Source organism: Homo sapiens, chromosome 2, assembly GCF_000001405.40.
Source record: "Homo sapiens chromosome 2, GRCh38.p14 Primary Assembly".
NCBI lineage: Eukaryota > Metazoa > Chordata > Mammalia > Primates > Hominidae > Homo > Homo sapiens.
This window is the reverse complement of record NC_000002.12, coordinates 104,695,334-104,711,065: the sequence shown is the minus strand read 5'-3', so window position 1 is coordinate 104,711,065 and position 15,732 is coordinate 104,695,334. Positions and strand designations below refer to the sequence as shown.

Sequence of the window (15,732 nt, the reverse complement as noted above, 5' to 3'; positions counted from 1 at the left end):
TCCTGTCATTTGCAACAACATGGATGGAACTGGAGATCACTATGCTAAGTGAAATAAGCCAGGCACAGAAAGCAAACATCACATATTCTCAACTATTTGTGGGACCTAAAAATCAAAACAAACTCATGGACATAGAGTAGAAGGATAGTTACCAGAGCCTGGGAAAAGAGTAGGGGATTGTGGGGGAGTTGGGGGTGCTTAATGGGTACAAAAAATAAAAAGACTAAATAGGGCCTAGTATTTGATGGCACAATAGTGTGCCTATAGTCAATAATAATTTCATTGTACATTTTTAAATAACTGAAAGAATATAACTGGATTGTTTGTAACACAAAGGATAAATGCTTGAGGGGATGGATACCCCACTTTACATAATGTGATTATTACTCCTTGCATGCCTGTATCAAAACATCTAATGTACCCCATAAATATATACACCTACTATGTACCCACAAAATTAAAATTTAAAAATTTTAAAAATTCAAAAAAAGTATAAGTTGCAAACTGAATGCTTTTAGGCATGATTTAAATGTGAAGAAAGCAATTTTTTTTTTTTTTGACACAGAGTCTCTCTCTGTGGCTGGAGTGCAGTGGCACAATCTCAGCTCACTGCAACTTCTGCCTACTGGGTTCAAGCAATTCTCCTGCCTCAGCCTCCCGAGTAGCTGGGATTACAGGAGCCTGCCACCACGCATGGCTAATTTTTGTATTTTTAGTAGACATGTGTTTCACCGCATTGGTCAGGCTGGTCTTGAACTCCTGACCTCGTGATCCACCCACCTCGGCCTCCCAAAGTGCTGGGATTACAGGCGTGAGCCACCGCACCTGGCCGAAGAAAGCAATTTCTATATTGGAAGAATATGGACTAACTATACAAAGGATGAAATTCCTTAAGAGAAGAGGGTGGGTGGAGGAACAAAAAACCATGCACAGCACTGAAGAGCTTATTTGGTCATCTGCTTTGTCACTTTCAGATAATGGAATCAGAGGATAAGCATTGTGATGCATCATATAGAATCTCCTTTCAAATAAAGTTATGAAAATGGGGATGGCATTCCATTTCCTGAAATGCATCAGTGCAGGTTAGATAACTCATTAAATATAACTTCAGTTTTCAGGACAAGGTTTTAGCGAACAAGACAATCTAACATTATTTTATTAATTTTAAAAGCTTTTCCCCCAATAGAGGTGAATACATTATTTAAGCAAGTCAATAGAAAAAAAAAACCCAGCTGTCAATAATAGGTTATTTTAGAGACATAGCAGAAAGAGTGCAACAGTGTTCCTCCAACTGGAAGCTGAGGACATTGGGGTAAATTAGAACAGAGGAAATGTTTGGGGTTAGGTATTTGGAAGGGACAGTGATTGATGGCAGTTTTAGAACAGAAGATCGCTTAGAGGGACCTAGGAGGCTCTTAGGTTGGCAGAATAGTCAAGGTGACCGTGTTGGGCTGGAGGGCTCCAAGAGAGGCAGATGAGGCACATGGACAAGTGAGGGTCCTCAGCTTCTAGTGGCAAGACGGGGCTCATAACGCCACAGCACACACAGTGGGGTTGACACATCTGTAGTCTCTCACAATGAAGACAGGGAAATAAGCACATATGTTTTTATTAATATTATTTTATTATTATCATTGTCATTTGGCTGTGAGACTCCATGGTGTATTGCATAGCTGTGGAGTCTACTGCCAGGTTTCAAATTCTGGCCCCACCTCTTCCTGGGACAAATTACTAAACCTTTCAGTCTGTTTTCTTATGGGTGCAATGGAACTGTAAAATCCGGGCTGTAACAAGGATGAAATGAACTAACATTTGTAAAGCACTGAGCCCATATAACCTCTATTATTATTTTTACTCTTATTATGTAATGGGGAGATAAATAGATGATGCATCATACTCACCATTAATTTTGTGCTCTGTTCCAGTGTAGGGTTGTGATTACATAAGAACTTTTTACACATTCAGAAGCGCTGACACTGGGCCCTTACTTTTAACTTTTTGTGAAATTCGGTATGATAGGGTCTAAGTTTTGCTAGTGTTTAAATGTTGAAATATAAATTTCATAAGGAAGGAAGTAACATATGTTTTTATTCATTTAATTTTATTTGAATATCGAAAAGATATCTTAGATTTTTTTTTATATGTTCCTTCAACTCTCATTCAACAAGTGTCTATTGAGTGCCTCCTGTGTGCCAGGCACTGTTCTAGATGCTTGAGAGACAGAAATTCCTGCCCTCCTAAAAGTTCTGAAAACCTAAAGAAAAACTTGGTAGCTTATTTTTTTATAAACAATTTGCCAGATATTGGGGCTCAAAAAATTCTGGGGGGGCTGGATGCAGTGACTCATGTCTGTAATCCCAGCACTTTGGGAGGCCAAGGTGGGCAGATCACTTGAGGTCAGGAGTTCAAGACCAGCCTGGCCAACATGGCAAAACCCCCTTTCTACTAAAAATATTAGAATACTAAAAATACTAAAAAATTAGCTGGGCATGGTGGTGCATGTCTGTAATCCCAGCTACTTGGGATGCTAAGGCAGGAGAATTGCTTGAACCTGGGAGGTGGAGGTTGCAGTGAGGCGAGATCGTGCCACTGCACTCTAGCCTGGGGAACAGAGGGAGACTCCGTCTCAAAAAAAAAAAAAAAAAATTCTGGGGGAGAACGTATTTTACAAGATATGATGCAAAGTTCCCTTCTCGCAAATGATATGTAGATGTGGGATGAACAAAACCAAATCTTTATGTTGCATTTTGTGTCATAAATGTTACCCAGATGTATAGGTCGTTATCAGATGCTGAGATTCAGGGTCTACCATTGTGGAAATAAACACACAGAAAATGAGGGCTGTGAAAATAAGACAAAAAATAATCCTGGAAGATTGCCCAGGCAATAATTAAGCAAAATAATTGAAAAATATAAAAGACTTAAAATTTGTTACAAATACGAATAAACCATTTTAATGAAGTCCAGGGTCCCCGATTTCTCAGTATAAAAAACAGGGATTACAATTCATTGAAAATCAGAAGAGGAAAAAAAACCCTAATGTGTATAGTGCTTATAATCCATGCGTTGTCCATATTCAATCTTATTTAATCTTCACTCTCAATTCTGAGGAGGATTTTATCTTCTTCACTTAATGGAAGAAAACAGAGAATTGGAGGAGGTGGTAACTTCCTCCAATTGTATTCCAACTGGGTAACCCCAGTTGGAATATGCTGGAGAGAGGGCATGAACTTACCCTATTTGGTTGCAGATCCTATACATGTCTTTAACAAATCTTTAACAAATAACATGCAATCCCATGGGCTCCAAAAATTATATTTGGCTCTGAAAATGATTCATTCTCAATTTATCGTAGTTTTATATTCTCAATGCAACCATCTATCCTCATGAAAACTTTCCTATTCTGCTTCAGGTAGGGACTGAACTAGCTACCAGGCCTCACATTCTTCATGCGCTCATGCATTCATTCCCCAGTCTAACTCAGCACCTTTATGTCAGGCACTCTGTTAGACATTGGTGATATAAAAATAAATAAGACAGAATCCCTACTCTCAAAGGGCTTACAGTATAATTGGACAGGAGACAGTTACTTTAGCAAATAATTTTATGAGATGCTAAGATATGCCAATGTGATTATTATGAAACTCTTTTAATTTAGTTTTTTTCAATTAAATGAAGAAAATACTTATTAAGTGCCGACAGACAGTGTGCAAAGGAACTGGAGTTGCAGAAATAACCAAGCTCTGAAAAAGCAGCATACTACATAGGAAACAGTGCAACGAGGAGAGACATATTGATGCTTGCAGACTTGGCATTTTCACAAACACAAAACTGGCTTTGCCTGACAGGATGTTTTAGGAAAACTTACCTAAGGATTCGTCCATGTAGTTTTCAGCAAGAACAAAATTTTCACTTGCGCTCACCAAGGGCTTAAGTGTCTTCCCCCAGGGTGTGCTGAGGTTGAGAGATCAACGGAGCTATTTTCAATTAGGACAGAAAGCACAATTTGTTTGGCTCAACCAAAATTGCCAGAGTGTTATCACAAGGTGAACTCAAAGTAACTATTATCTGGACACCAATTTAGCATATTGCTGTGCCTTTTTTTTTTTTAACTGTATGCTGCTCTAACAAAAAGGCTTGTCTAAAGGCATTAAAGGATATGAAACAATATTTGGTTCTGAATTGATATATCTCCCATCAGGAGACCAAGTAATATCCAGAATTATTAAATTAGATAAAAACATGCATGAGGTTAAGTACAGCTGCTATTAGATTATTGCTCTAAGATTATGTTTTTTTTTTTTCTGGATAATTCGTCCTTTGTATCTAAAATTTTGCTTTTTATTTTAATTTAGTTTTAACTTGTGTTAACCTGTATATTAGCATTTAAGATCATCCACTGAATTTGAAGTCACATGTCTCCATATGTTAACTAAAATAAAAGTGCTAAGATATATCTATGGAAAATGGATTTGAAAATGTCTAAGTGTTCTAGGTAAAGCTATAAACTCTGAGTACTTTTTGTAGGGTTGAAAGAGTTAATCAAAAGAAGCTTTTGAGTCAGAGAAAACTCAGTTCCATCTTAATTTCTACTAAAATGAGACCTTAAATTCTATTGAAATAGAATTTGACACAATTCAGGTCAGATTTCCTATCAACACCACCTTGCACTCTGGGACACATCTGTCTAATTAAGGGACTTCCTTCATTAGTCACCCTGTGTCCGGCAAGCTAAATCCAAATCTGTGGAGGAAAAGCAATGAGATGTTTTAAACAATGATAAGAACATCACAAATAATCAATTTCTATGGCATTACGAGCTACCTGGTCAAGGAAAAGCCTATAAGTGCAAGAATGTATTGTAGAACTCCAGCCCGCCTACTGGGCATTGATTCTTTGCAGTGTGCATAGATTACTGGGTTTAAAGAGAGATTCCTAATGATGCTCACCTTTAATTTTTCCCCTCACATAAAAAGAAAGCGAGTTGCCCATCAAGGCCTCAGTATAAGCAAATCAGTGTCTTTGTGGTTGTAAAGATGTATTGTGAGACTTTTCACAAAAATAGGAAACCAGCAAACTGCTTGGGAGTAATTAGACGTAATCTGATGCATGCAACCTCATAAAGGAGGAAGAGCTAATTACAATTACAATGCACCGTGCTTAGAAACATATTTATTGTGCTTATTTTTAAGATGTTTACTTCACCTGAAAGAAAAGGCCTACAAAAGCATTTCCGTGTAATCAAAACACAGTTCTTCTTTTACCAACCACATTTATTTCAATTTCTAAAGTTCATGGCAGACAGCATTTTAATCCACATTAACCTTTGGAATCCTTACATTTTCCAAAACTAGCGTCGCTTAAGAAAAACACACATATTCACCCCCAGCCCTACCCACCACCTCTCTATGCTACCCCCACACTGGAGACAGAATGAAATACAATGATTTGACACAACAATTTAACCATAACTTTCTCAAGAAAGGGCATCAACCGACTTATATATTCATTAAAGGATTAAACTTGCATTTAATCCTCAAAACTGAAACAAAACACAAAGATCCATAGAACTTTCCCAGCACACTTTCATGCACACTGCCCTCACATGGAATATTCATTACTCTCATTAAAGTAGTAACAACTGGAACCAAAATCTATGCTGTGCCTTTAAAGTAGAAAAATGGAGATGGATTAATAATATTCTCATTATTCAGGCTTCACTTTCATTTACTAAGAAGCAAAATAAGGCAAAAAACGTCCACCCTAAACCCCAAGTTAATTTCCTTTTAATTCTATCCAGAGCGTGACTTCTGTGTTGTATAGAAGATACCTGAAATTAAAGTTTAAGTTGAAGGAAAAGGAAATTAAAAGAGTTAAGCAGATGATTGTAACTTTCTAAGAATTCTGGGGCGATGCATTTGTTTCTTTTAGGGCATGGCTCGTTGAGGCAGGAAACGGTGGCCGTAGTTAGGATTCTGCGCATCTCTAGCCTGTGCCGGGAAGAGGGGGCGCACGCGCAGGTGGGCGCTTCGGAGACAGTCTGTCAGCTCCACCTGGAACGATGACAGCAGTTCCTGGCTGTCCCTGGCACTCTGACCACACAGCTTGCAGAGTTCATTGTACAGTCAGAAGGAGAGGCCGTACCTGTGACCTCCCACGGCCTCTTCTGTGATGCAGCCTCCGTCGTCTCAGTGGCCTGAATGCAAACCTGCTCCCTGGAGAGGGCAAATCATTGAACATATGTTTAGTCTAAAAATATAGCTTGCAAAAAATGCACTTTTGGAATGTGCTAAGATATTTCCTTACAGTGGAACCTTCTCTTTGCCCCAAAGATTTGTCAAATGGAATTGAATGCACACACATCAATCTGCACATTGTTGCCAGACTAGGATCATTTCAGTGTGTCCTTGTGTATTTTGCAGAAAATGCCAGCCATGTTGAAACAAGATGCCTTACAAAAGTTGTGAGCACATTACTACTCCAGGTTTCTTCCCATAGAAGATTTAAATTTAGAACTCCCTGAATTCACATTTTATTTTAAGGCATGGGAAAGATATGAAATGTGCCTTATCAATAGTTGAAATGGGATTGGAGAATATCTCTCAAGTTTATCAATTACTAAACAAAAAGATGTATATAACTTCTCCAAGATTAAATTCTTAAAGATTTAAGATGACAGACATATTTTTATAGCAAAGATCTACAATAAAGCATACGTGGTGTTTAAAACAATGTCCAGATATGTAATAAAGACACTTTTAAAAACACCATGAGCCGAAAATTAAAACAGCAACCAATTTTTTTTAATGTGGCTCTTTGGTTTTCTTCAACATTTATATTCTCAAAATGTGAAAACTGTAGGAACCACTCGAGAGTATGACTGAGTAGTAAGAAAAACGGGGTTTTCCATAAAGCTTTGGTACCACCTAAATCAGCTTTAGGTCAAAACCGACGACTCTGAAACAAATCAGAATTCAAACAGCCAGGCCGCACTGCTGAAGGTACACGCTTACTGTGAAGGGCACACTCCCCACCTGACATATTCCACGTCTACAGAGAACCTATCAGACAGAGACTCAGACATGACCGCTGACACCAGAATCGAGTTTTCTCACTGAATGCCACATAAATGGGAGGGACTGTAATGACACACACACACACATGCTCTCTGCCTCCCTCTCTGCATGTTCTCGCAGTGAAAATAACACACGTATAATACGACAACCTTGAGAGAGCACAAACTGCTGGGAAACATTACCTTCTGTGCTGCAGAGAATTCATGAGTTTTCACCAGCTGCCTGGATCTGTCCGGACATGTTCCAGTGCTCATCCTGTTAAGACTGGCAATTAAACAGAGTATTACAGCTAGGAGACCCCAAATTTGATTCCATCCTCCTCTCCTCTTTGCAGAACCCAATTTGATTTTTTTCCCCACTAAAAAAATGCATGCGTAAGTGTAGCTGTGTACGTGTGCATGAGTGTAAGCATTTCTGATGCACCTAAGCAAAAATGACAACTCTACAATAAAACAATAGGAATTCCTACCATGAAAGAAAATGAGTTTTACAAAAGTACAAGTTCTTCATAGCTGTTTTAAACAACTGTGTTTAGCAATACACCTGCTTTGATATTATCTTTTAACTGTCTCCTCTTGCTAGTTAGGCTGGCAAAAGACAGCCTCGATGGTTAATTGCCGAATGTACAGAGAAATGAAACGTGGACTTTTAAAAGAGTAGTAAGCTGGAAAGAAGATTAATAACAAATTAGTAAATAGGAAAGTCTTGCAAATCTATGACATGTTACAAAGGGAAAACACGAGCAGAATCTGTAAAATGTTACCAAAATACGAAAAGAACCTAGAAAAGGAGCACATTGTATGTTTATTTGAAACAATTATTTGCTAAGATGAAACACATTTTAGCAAGGGACTGGTGGGATAGGCAGATTGTCAGGGGAGCTGAAAATGCAGCAAGAATGACCAAAGTTAAGAGACCTAATGACTCGTGGCATCTTCCCTTAAAAATAAATCCAAACAGGGGAAAGGAATAATAAATTTTAAAATCGCTAACTGATTGCCAACCCAGATTTTGCTTTATTAGGGAGGGCAAGTAAATTTTATGTGATAGTTTGTTGTATTTAAAGACAGTGTAAAACTCTCATTGCAAACAGTTGTTTACAGTGCGTTTTTCAGCACCGAGCTGTTTTAAAGCTCAATTGTGCATTTTGCAGATAAAGTGGGAAAACTAACTGAAGGCTGTATTGTAAGCAGTGGTTGCCGTGGAAACCCCAGTTTCAAGAGCTGGTTCTCCATTACCACTTAATTTAGGCTTCCTAATTGCATTCCACTAAATCGGTAGCGACAATATCTGCAGAGCAAAACTGCATGCCCAGTCTAGCGCAAACCTCTTTGAAACAGGCTTTTTGAAAGCCAGGAGCTATAAAAACTCAGCATGACGTGGAGCATATGAGAAACCTGTAGTTCAAATGTACTACTGCCTGCTTTCTCATCCTTGGTAACTTCAGTGCGCTCCACACCAATCTATTAGTTCAGTCTACCTTAAAGATCATAAAGCTCTGCCATGTGGAAACTCATCTGTCCAGCAACACATTGGTGCAAAATAGATTTAATTGTACTCCCAACCCTGTATCATGTCCACCTTATTTTACTGCACAGCAGCAGGTAGCCAGTGCACAGTCTCACTTCCCTTGAACTGCCCTTGCTCCACAATACGAGGAGAACAATACTTTCTCAGTTTAAATTATTTGCCACTGTTGGGCTGAGCGGAGAGCTAGACCGCCCATATGTGACCTGAAGAAGAGGCTTGTCAGAACCACTAGACATAAAAGCATTCCAATTATCGACCACACTGCTTTAATAGAGGAGGCAACTAATATGATAGTGTAAGTGACTGCACCAGTGAGGAGCTCTTCGTCACTGTCAGATTAACACTTGAGTTAAACTCTTGTAAATCAGTCACATTATGCTGCTGGTGGAGAAATAAACACAGACCTATTAGGCTTAGGATTCCAGAGAGCTCTTTCTGCAAAAGGAGTTACACTGGATGCCTTATTAATAGGAAATTTGCCATGTTTATTATTTTGCAATTACTAATATGGGTAACGTTGGCAAATTTAAGTTGCCTGTGATCAGATTCCGAAAGAGAAGCAAGTGCCTTCGGTGGCCAGAGAGCAGGCCAGCCTGGCTCCGTGGCAGGGCACCGCAGGGCACGGTGGGCATTCTGTGTGAGCGGCCAGTGGGAGAGGAAGTTGGCTGACTCTCGATTGACAAAAAATCCCACAATTCTCGTTTTCTCTTTAAACAACGAATGCTTTCAAGTAAAATGCCGTGCTATCTTGGAGCACAGGACTTCATGCCAATCCCCGGCGAAGCTCATCATTTCCTCACTCAGGACCTGAGGATTTGGCATCTATATTGTAGGCGAAGAGACTCTTTTGCTCCAGAGAGGCAAGTAAACAACTGCAGCGTTTTATCCTCTCCCTGGCGTGGGTGCATGTTGCTAAAGCAGCCCAGGCACTGCTGCCAAGCACTCCACTATTGTCTTCTGTCTCCCAAGGTTTCGAACGCCCCTGCCCTCCCAACGGCGGGTCTTCTGCAGGGATGAATGAGGCATTTTCCAGGACAAGACTTTATGAATGAGACAGACTGTGTATTACAAGGCAAGAGGCTCCTGTGCATTTCCTGAAGAAGAAAGCCAATGTGAAGGAAGTCTGCATCCCAGTTTCAGCAGCAATGTGGAGGAGAAATCACCATCACTGACAAGATTTTGCCAGAAAGCCTCTCCCTTAGTCACGATACAAACAGGAGATGACCGATTCAAAGGCCAGGCATATAAAAGCCCTGGACAAGGTAGATTCTAAAGGATAAATAGTTGCTCTTCCGAGGTAGTGGGGAGGGGCGCCCGCTGTTGGACCATTTTAATCAACAGAAAATCAGGTGCACTGCTGTGGGTGTGGCAGCTGCAAAACATGGCAGGATTGCAGGTCATCTTTGGATGAAATATAACGACTCATGGTTCTGTGACTGAGAACATGTGATCTTGGAGACGAAGTCTGAGCAAAATTACGAGTGAAAGTTCTGGGATGTTAGCTATCCTGAGTCACGGAGACCTAATCGAAGTACTCCTTTCCCATCCTCTAGAGTTTCCTTAAGAAGCCCTCGGCATCAACTTCAAGGTGTGAATACATTTCTCTATTTCTGATGCACCTGCAACCTGGGTGCTACAACCGTTCTCTTCTGTGTGTTTCTTCCTCACTATGGATGGAGAAAAGTAAACAAGTGTGTTTTGTGCATCACCTTCATGTTGCCACTCTTCAGTTAGGCAAGTAAAAGCTAGCCCTTCCTCCCCAAACTTGCTTGGTGCCTCTGTTCCCAGAGCAAGGTTTCAACCCTGTTGAAACTCTGTTTCAGTCCAAGTCCAGGGCCCTCAGAGATTTTTTTTTCTCCCTGAGGGGATAAGCAGGGCTTTAAAAAGATTCTACTCCCTTTCCAAGCCCACGAAGTGCTCAGAAGCAGCCCCCAAAGGAGCCAGCAGGGAAAAGTAGACTCAACTTTGTCCAAGCATCAAGTTCCTGCTAATTTCCTCTCCTGCTACCCTGATGAAATCACCTCTGATTTTATCTGTGTTCTCCCACTTTGCCACTGCTTATCTCTCATCCACCCATGGAACTAATAAAATAAAGGACTAATGTTTCCTCCTCATCCTTAACAATTAATTCTAATTCTAAAACTTCTTTGATCTCCTCTCTATTATTCTAAAACGAAACCCCAAATCTTTGGGCTTAAAATCAAGCCTTGTTTCAGTACATAGCCTAGGTACCACATGGAAAGAAAATTGCAGCAGCCACAGAAAATGATTACTGCTGAATTACAAATCACAGAGAGATGCATAAATAGTTATGAGGGAAAATTGCAGGATAATGCTGCTGATACAATCAATAGCATCCTTGATAGTGATAGGCCCAGGGGTTCTATATATTATCTATCCACCAAAATGCCAATATAATAAAACCTACAGAGGAATTTATATCATGATCCATTCTCTGTTAATTCCCAAGTGAATAATAAATCAAATGGGATACCTGAAAGATCGTCTCCTCTAATTGACTTGTTTAAGAAACTGGTTATACTGGCCATTACGCTATTCCAACTAATGTGTGTTAGGAAGCATTTCTCTCTCTTTTAAAATTAATAAAACAATTTCACATATGACCCATGGTGCAAAGAAAAAATATATACTCTTAAGTGATTAGAACTCATTATAATTATATTTACTAAAATGTTTTATGTTTACATCATTTCTCCCAGAACTGCAGTGGTCAGTAAGGGGCCCAGAGTATGAGGGGTTTCCTATTAAATGCTTTTTGAAAAAGCAAATATACATTGATCAGGCTTTCTTTATCTTTAGCTATCACTGCTCATTTTCTCTTCTTTCCTTTCATTGAACTTCTTTTAAATTAATTAATCTATGAATTTCCAAATGTTAGATAGCAATCTATATCCATTTCTGTAGAAAAATTAACGATGCATTTTAAATGGAATCCTTTTGTGATCCCAGAATGACACCACAAATGAGATTTCCATAGGTCTTACGGTTAAGGCAGGTGTCTTTGAAAGTGGCAAGAATTCTCCCAGCTCACTAGGGGATTGATTATTAAATCTTACCAACACAAACATGGCTTTCTTATATATCTCTTTACAAGAACTAGATTTTAGAGTGCCACATCACGGCCTACATATTGGAACAATATTTGGTATAATAAAATTCCAGTAAAATAAACATTTCTCTTCTCTCTCTCTTTTTTAAAACAAATCCTTCTACTCCATTTATTTGTTTTGCAGGGGAATTTGGCCTGATTTGAATAATAAAGCAGCTATTTCCTATATGTCTTAGGCACCAAAAAATGTTATCTGAAGTGGTCTTGTGGCCCTAGGCTAGGGGCTAACACGTGAAGCCCCCAGAGCTTCATCTGGTGGGTGATAAGGTTTTCAATAACGTGGTCCTTGTCTTTACACAAAACCTAAGTATCAATTCCGTTTGAAACAGAGGATATTCAAGAAATTGTATTTCAAAAAGTTTAGATTTGCTACTTTAATTCTTAGGAGAAAAATCACATGCAGTCTGGGCAGGACTGGCTACCCAATTTGAGGAGCTCTGTGCAAAATGAAAATACAAAATGTATTCCCCATGTACAAAAGTGGTAAAAGTGAATCTCAGCAGAGCATTAAACCAAGCATGGGCCCTCCTGGGCACAGGGTCCTGTGTGACTGGAGGCACAACACACGCCCACAGCCAGCCTTGGTTTGGAGTCCAGCTGAGGCTCCCCCTTTCTTAGCTGTGTGATCCTAGCAACTTAACCTCATGTAGCTTGGGTTTTCTGTGGCTTTCAAGCACACTTTACCACACACTGGTATGGCTCTTGTAAGCATAAAATGCAAAAGTGTTTTGTAAATTCTGAAGCATGATGTAAAATCACGCGTTGGGATATCATTATTTCATTATTACTTTTAAATTGTTGGGTCATGATTAGGATCGGGAACAGACAAGATCATGACATCATCAATCCAATGTTGGCTTCACTTTTCTTTCTCTTGACTTAGAGTGAAGTGACTTGATACTCCTCTCAGCCTCATTGGGCATCAGGTCACACGAATAGACCATCTTGTTCTTCTCTGTCACTAAAACCACCACTGTATTCTATCCCTTGTTGTGGGTCCCTGCTTTCTCTAGTCATGGAACCCAAGAGTGAGTCGGTCACTGAGAAGGTGTCATACTGAATTGATGGGATGCCTGGACATATAAAATGGTGACGTTCCCACGAACCATTTCTCTGAGTCCTCATAGCATAAATATAATGCACTCCAGTTGAGCATTGTGTCAGAAGGACATGATTCTCACCTCAGACTCAGGCAGGGACAATGCTCGAAAACCACAACCACTGCTCCCATCTAAGCTGAGTAGCTCCAGGAGTGAGGGCACCTCCTGAAGGTCTCTGAAGCAGCTGCCCTCTCTACGGGTGCCCTGACATTTCCATTGCTTCTAAGCAAAGGGACAAACCTCAGCCTTCCTTTGTGTTAAGATACTTCCGATCAGATTGGCTTGTGAAGTGGGATCCAGGAGGCTTAGAGTTGAGTCTGATTACAAATTGCAGTAGCTTAACTGAGTCGGAGAAGCAACTTCTCAGATGTTTCCACAGAACCTTGGTGTGCTTCAAGATGTCAGGTGTTGTCTCAAAACCTGTGTGGGCAAAAAACACCATAAAGAGATTCCAAAGGCAAACCTTGGCAGACTTGTATGATAAAGGCTAATGCCGTTCGTCTTAAAGAGCTCCTAAAATTTATGAAGAAAAGATGAAGAATCTGATGGAAAAATGTGTAAAGGACATCAGCAGGCAGTTCCCAGGAGAAAAGAAAAGGCCCTCAAATACAGGAAAAGATGCTAGAGTGAAAGAAATGCAAATTAAGAGTACGTTTAGACACCAGATTGGCAAAAACTCATGTATGTCAGCATCATTGGTGGGTGAGCCTGTGAGGTAATAGGCCCTATTCTATATTGCTAGGAAAGGTGTAAAAGGGTACGACCCCTTATGGAGGGAAATTAGGCAACATCCAGAAAACTTACATAGGATTTGACCCTTTGAAACAGAGCTCTCACTTCTAGGAATCTATCCTGTAGACACACTGCCAAAAATACTATAAGGCATATGCACAAAACTATTAATTGCAGCATATTTGTATTAGCAGAGGACTGGAATCAACCCAGGTGTCTCCATTAATAGGGGACTGTGGGAATAAACAATAGAGGATCCACACAAAGAAAGTCTATACAAAAAAAAAAAAGTGAGAAATGTGGAACACAAACCTTTTGTGTAAGAAAGAGAGGCGATATAAATATATTTACTGATTTGCTTATATTTTCAAAAAGCAACCCTGAAGACATAAATGAAAAATAAATATAAATCATTATCTGTAGAAGAAGGCACAGGGGACAGAACGAAAGGAGATGCCTCTGAATCATGTCTATGTTTTGTAGATTCAAGAAACATACAGTTTAAATTTCAAAATATACTGAAATTGATGTAGAGTTGAATGAGCCAACTCTACATCAATTTGGTGACATAATCACACAGAAGAAATAATGATTTCAAGTGACTTTAGAAGATGTTATTTAACCTGTGCATCCACGATGAAATATTTTATAGGAACAAATAATGCTGCCACACAGTGTTCAACTCCATTCTGCAATCTTACTTTTAGTAGTAATGTTAGTAATCATACTTTGTGATAATTCTACATAGTTTGTATGATACAGCAAATAATTTGAAGCCAATATTTTTAACATAAGAGAAAAAAAGTACAAGTGTAAAGCCAAACGATAAGAAAAATTCCTGCAATATAATTGAAAATAGCAAGATTAACTCATGATTTGTTTATTATGTTTTTTTAGTAGCCCCACCTAAAAGCAAAGGCAACATTGCAGCACTAACTACTCCTAGTGCCTGAAGGGTGGTCTGTAAATACTATTTCCCAATGAAAGAAATCAGTTTTCGGACAGAAAATACGTAAATGAAGCTGGACATTTTGGTATGTCAGAAAAAAACGGAAGCTATCGAGGACTAGTGGGCGCATGTCAAAATGACACACTAGACAATATGCAAGGGGACCACTGGCCAAAGACAGAGCAAGTTGAGCATCAAAAAATGATGATTAATTATTGAAATACACTAAATGTGTAAAAACATGAACTCTCCGTGATACTGAGAGGGGGAGTTTAGAAACAACAACAAAACAAAACAAAGTGCACACACAAAACAAAACAATTCACTGGTGACCATTGTAGGTAATTAGGACTTCAAATCCTTTGAATGTTGGCAATGGAAGGAAAGGAACAAAGCATTTATCATGCCTTTTGAGGACTAGTGTGATAGCCTTAGCTGATGAAAGAAAATTATTTACAAAAAAGGTGGAAAAATAAACCAAATTAGAAGCTCACCCTTTATGACATGTAATGGATGATCTGACTCTGCAAAGTACACCAGTGGAGGACACTGTGAGATGAAAGTGTGATGGGAACTTTATGGTGGAGGGATTAGGCTGTCACCACGTCACCTGCCCTCACATGATTACGACTGTGCTCCCAAAGATGGCCACAATGGTACTTCCCATCCTCTTTTGCACTGTGACCTTGTGACTCCCCAGCAAGAGGTAGAGTCTATTTCAAATCCTTTCGATCTACAATGGTCCCATGACTTGCTCTGGCCAATAGAATGAGATGGATGTGATGCTCTGTAACTCTCAAGGCTGGGCCTTAAGAGACCCATAGCTTCTGCCTTTATCACTAGAACACCCTCTTCAAAGCCAGTCACAAAAGCAACCCAGAGACCATCAAGCTATAAGGAAGCCCAAGCTAGCCATTTGGAAAGAGAGGATGACCACTGAGGAGCCAGGCCCATGAGCAAGACCTTGTTGGACTTGCCAGCCCAGCCACCAGCTGGGTGCAGGAGAATGAAAGAATTCAGCTAATGCCACATGGCTCGATCAGAAAAAACTGCTCAGCAAAGCTATACCCAAATTGTGACCTATGGAATTGTGCACAAATAATTGTTTTAGGCCATCAAGTTTTGGGATAGTTTGTTATGCAGAGCTACTGCATAATTTAAAAGTCACTGTTTTGGAACAATCAAGTAGTATCTGATTCAGGGGGGCACAAATGA

At 39.6% G+C, this 15,732-nt stretch overlaps 1 long non-coding RNA gene across 1 annotated transcript, besides 1 other annotated feature; it reads right to left on the bottom strand.

Annotated features, from left to right (window-relative positions):
• Nucleotides 1–5,255: 5,255 nt before the first annotated feature.
• On the bottom strand, nt 5,256–7,522 carry LOC101927383 (uncharacterized). The gene is made up of 2 exons (NR_188512.1): nt 7,259–7,522; nt 5,256–6,215 (listed from the first exon to the last, which is right to left on the bottom strand). It is a non-coding gene; the product is annotated as an uncharacterized LOC101927383 (long non-coding RNA).
• Nucleotides 7,668–9,944: an enhancer, noted in NCBI's record as "VISTA enhancer hs969". NCBI's record gives its function as "enhancer in: forebrain[9/9]" and the evidence as "EXISTENCE:transgenic organism evidence [ECO:0001131][PMID:17130149]".